General features: G+C 50.1%; 2 annotated features.

The window, feature by feature from the left end:
- Positions 421 to 923: an enhancer, noted in NCBI's record as "H3K4me1 hESC enhancer chr5:153920920-153921422 (GRCh37/hg19 assembly coordinates)". NCBI's record gives its function as "activates a minimal SCP1, AML or CMV promoter by ChIP-STARR-seq in naive H9 embryonic stem cells {active_cell/tissue: H9 hESC(naive)}" and the evidence as "EXISTENCE:reporter gene assay evidence [ECO:0000049][PMID:30033119]".
- Positions 570 to 864: an enhancer, noted in NCBI's record as "tiled region #8942; K562 Activating non-DNase unmatched - State 20:ReprD". NCBI's record gives its function as "activates a minimal TATA promoter and a strong SV40 promoter by Sharpr-MPRA in K562 cells {active_cell/tissue: K562}" and the evidence as "EXISTENCE:reporter gene assay evidence [ECO:0000049][PMID:27701403]".

Below are 3413 nucleotides of genomic sequence, written 5' to 3' on the forward strand. Positions count from 1 at the left end.
ATAAGATCCTTCTTCTATGGGCCTCGGTTTCCTAATTTGTACAATGAGTGTGATTGACTAGGTCAGCGTTTCCTGAAGTATGGCTCACTGGTGTAAGCTAGATGATTTTTCGTGGTACAAGGTGAATATTTGTTATTTAAAATTATGAATAGATTTTAACGTATAAGAGAAAAAATAAAACTAAGATAGCAAACATGTGATTTTGTGGATATTGTTTGGAATGAAGCCAAGTAAAAAGTAGCGATTTAAAATAAAAAGCATGAAGTGAATAACAGATCAAGCGGTACACCAATACGGCAGAAGTTGGGAAGGTGATCCTTGAACAACCCGGATTTGGGGAAGTCTGGGCAAGATGATCTGGCTTTGATTATCTGGCTACCCAAAGAAAATCCACCTCATGAGTTACTTGCTAGGGGGACCCGTTGGTCCGCCCTATTTTTTTAAGTGGCCAGGCCCCTGTAAGCCCCATTGCCAGGAGTTTTGGCTAATGCCCTTTCAGTACATGTTGCAAAAATAATATAAATAACTCATCCTAGGACTTCAAACATGCCACCTGAGATGTATGGTGGAAGATTACAGGTTTCCAAGACGCACCCCCTCCATCATTCCCGTGGCTTAGAGGCTTGCTGGAGAGCGGAGATCAATGCTTTGGTTTTATGGGCAGCTGGGCCACGTGACCAGGCCCCAAATCCTTTGCTTTATGGGTTGTTTACACATTCCTGGTGAGAAACGGTTTACATTCTGGGCCCTGAGCGCACTCCTAAATCAGCTGCCGGGTTCTTGCAGTTGGAGGTGAAAGAGATCTGTGTGTCGGTGGGCACCAGGAGGCGAGGGGAGGAACAGAGAGGGGCAGGCTGAGAGGGGCCTGGGGAGGGAGCCCTCAGGGCCCCGTGTTTCCTGTCTGTGGCACCTGGAACCTATTTCTGAGTCAGCGGGGGGCGCTGTGCAGGGCCTGAGGTGGGTAGGAACCTGAGGGGCTGCATATGCACCATATTCAGGATGTGCTGGGCTCGCACTCAGTGCAGGCACTTGGCACATGTTAGCTCACTGGGTTCCCACAACAGCCCTGGGAGGTTGGGGTTTTTCCCATTTTCAGAGGAGGAATCAGAGACTCAGGGAAGTAAAGCACCCTGTTCCCTATTACATAGCTGAGGAGTGACAGAGAAGGACACTCGAACCCTGCTCTGACCAAGGCAAAGGCTGTGGTCTTGCCACTCTCCTTTCTTGTCGCTGGGGCTCCAACAGAGGCCATTTGGGTTGGAACTTAGGAGATGCCTCCTGGAATGGCGAGGGAGGATGAGGGGGAGGCGATTCCTGTCTGGGTTTTGTGACTTGGCCAAGTCACTGTCTGAAAATCCCGCATCACACAGTTGACCTTGTGGATCTGGTGCACAAGATCCCCTGGAAATCATCTGGGCAAGTTCGAGGGTACCCAGTGGGCCCCTGCTTGTCCCTCCCCTCCTCATTCCCTCCTTCCTCTTCTTTCTCCCAGTTACCCTTCCCCTCTTACCCCCTCCACCCTGAGAGGGTCCTTACGGTCCATTTGTTTTCCTTGGCCCCAGTTCTGCCCTTGGCAGCTGTGTGGGCTCTTAGGAAGCTGCTCAGATGCTGGGGCAGCTCTCAGCCCCCTGAGTCTTCTCCAAACCATCCAGCCCCAGTGCCTCAGCAGTTCCCCAAGTGACGTGGCTTCGAGCCCCTTCCTCATCTTGGATGCTGCCTTCTGAGGTCAGAGCAGGGAGATGACCCAAAGTTGGCGAGGGGAGTTAGCAAGCAGCCTGTGTAATGAATGTTCTTCTCTCTCTGGATCCAGAGGCAGCCAGGAGTTGTGGAAAGTGTGCAGGCTCCAAGGAGGGTGACACAGACATGGATTAATGCCCTTTTCCAACACTGAATCACCTCGCTCAAGGCACTTAACTCTCCCAGCCATGGTTTTCTCCTCTGTAAAGTAGAAGTAACAATTGTAGCAGACATCCATGCTTTGCCCAGCAGCCTTCCACCTTCCACCTGGTATCCCTAGTTTCCTGTCGAGGTCCCTTCCTCTCCTGCTCTCATCCTATATGAGTTGGGGGTAAGCTTATCCTTGGCTCAGGGACTAAGGTACTGAGCACTTCCCTCACACTACCTGCTCCCTCCCACAGTGACTGGTTCAGGAATGGGCATTTTTGAGAACACAGCAACCCACGGAGCAGAGCCATGCCAGGAGATGGCAATATTATTTGAGTGTCTGCATTAAGCTGTACCAGAAGCCAGATTCTTTTGCCTTTCCAGATAGATACACAGACTAATAAATTCCCTGTGGAAGATGAATCACAAAAAAGGCCTCCTTTCTCCAATCCTCTCTGTGTTCTCCCGCCTTCTTGCAATATGGCTTTACAGCAATTCTTATCAAAAGGTGGGATTTATTTCCTTCCTCCCTAAATTTGGGTTGCTGTTGTGATTTGCTTTGGCCAATAGAAGGTGGCAGAAGTGATGGAGGGCCAGTTCTGAGCATGCCCTTCAAAGAGCTTTGCACACTTATGTTGGCTCTCTTGGACCTGTGAACAAGCCTGAGCTAGCTTGCCAGAGGTGTGGAGACCCAGTTGTCCCAGCCAAGGCCATCCTGGACCAACCTACAGTCTGCTAGCTGGAAATGCACGGGAGAGTTCAGCCAAAAACAGCAGAGCTGACCACAGAGGCTGAACCCAGGGAAACCACAAGAACCACCCAGCTCGCTGTAGATTCATGACCAAGAATAAATACTTAACTGTTTTTGTTTTTTGTTTTGAGATGGAGTCTCGCTCTGTCACCCAGGCTGGAGTGAAGTGGCACAATCTCGGCTCACTGCAACCTCGCCTCCTGATTCAAGCGATTTACCTGCCTCAGCCTCCTGACTAGCTAGGACTACAGGCTCATGCCACCGCCCCCGGCTAATTTTTGGAGAATAAATACTTACTGTTTTAAACATTGCATTTTGGGGTGGTTGATTATGCACCAATAGCTGATATATTCCTTGTTTTGCTTAAATTAGTCCTGGTTGGTTTTTCTGTCATTTTCAATCAGAAAATCCCAGATGATGCAACTGTAATACCTACCTCATAGGACTGCTCTGAAGATTGGAAGTGACATTGGCAGAGTGGCTGGCACACTTGGGGAGGAGTCAGTAAACAATAGCTGTTGTCATTATTCCCTGTTCATCCTCCCAGCTACTCCCTCATCCACGTCCTCCAACCACAGGCAGCAAGTCCTCTGCCAGTGTGGAGAGTGGAGGTGGGCACGCTGGCTGAGGGGTGCCCTGGGTGGCCATGCTGTTGCTACCAAGCACTGGGGAGGAGACCAGAGAACCCAAGTTCAGTTCCCCATCTTCCAGAGGTGAGCCCTTAAGTGCCCCGTGAGAGAATGAGATGCTACTTCTCGGGTTGAACGGAATAAAAGTC

Source organism: Homo sapiens, chromosome 5 (assembly GCF_000001405.40).
Source record: "Homo sapiens chromosome 5, GRCh38.p14 Primary Assembly".
NCBI classification, from domain to species: Eukaryota; Metazoa; Chordata; class Mammalia; order Primates; family Hominidae; genus Homo; species Homo sapiens.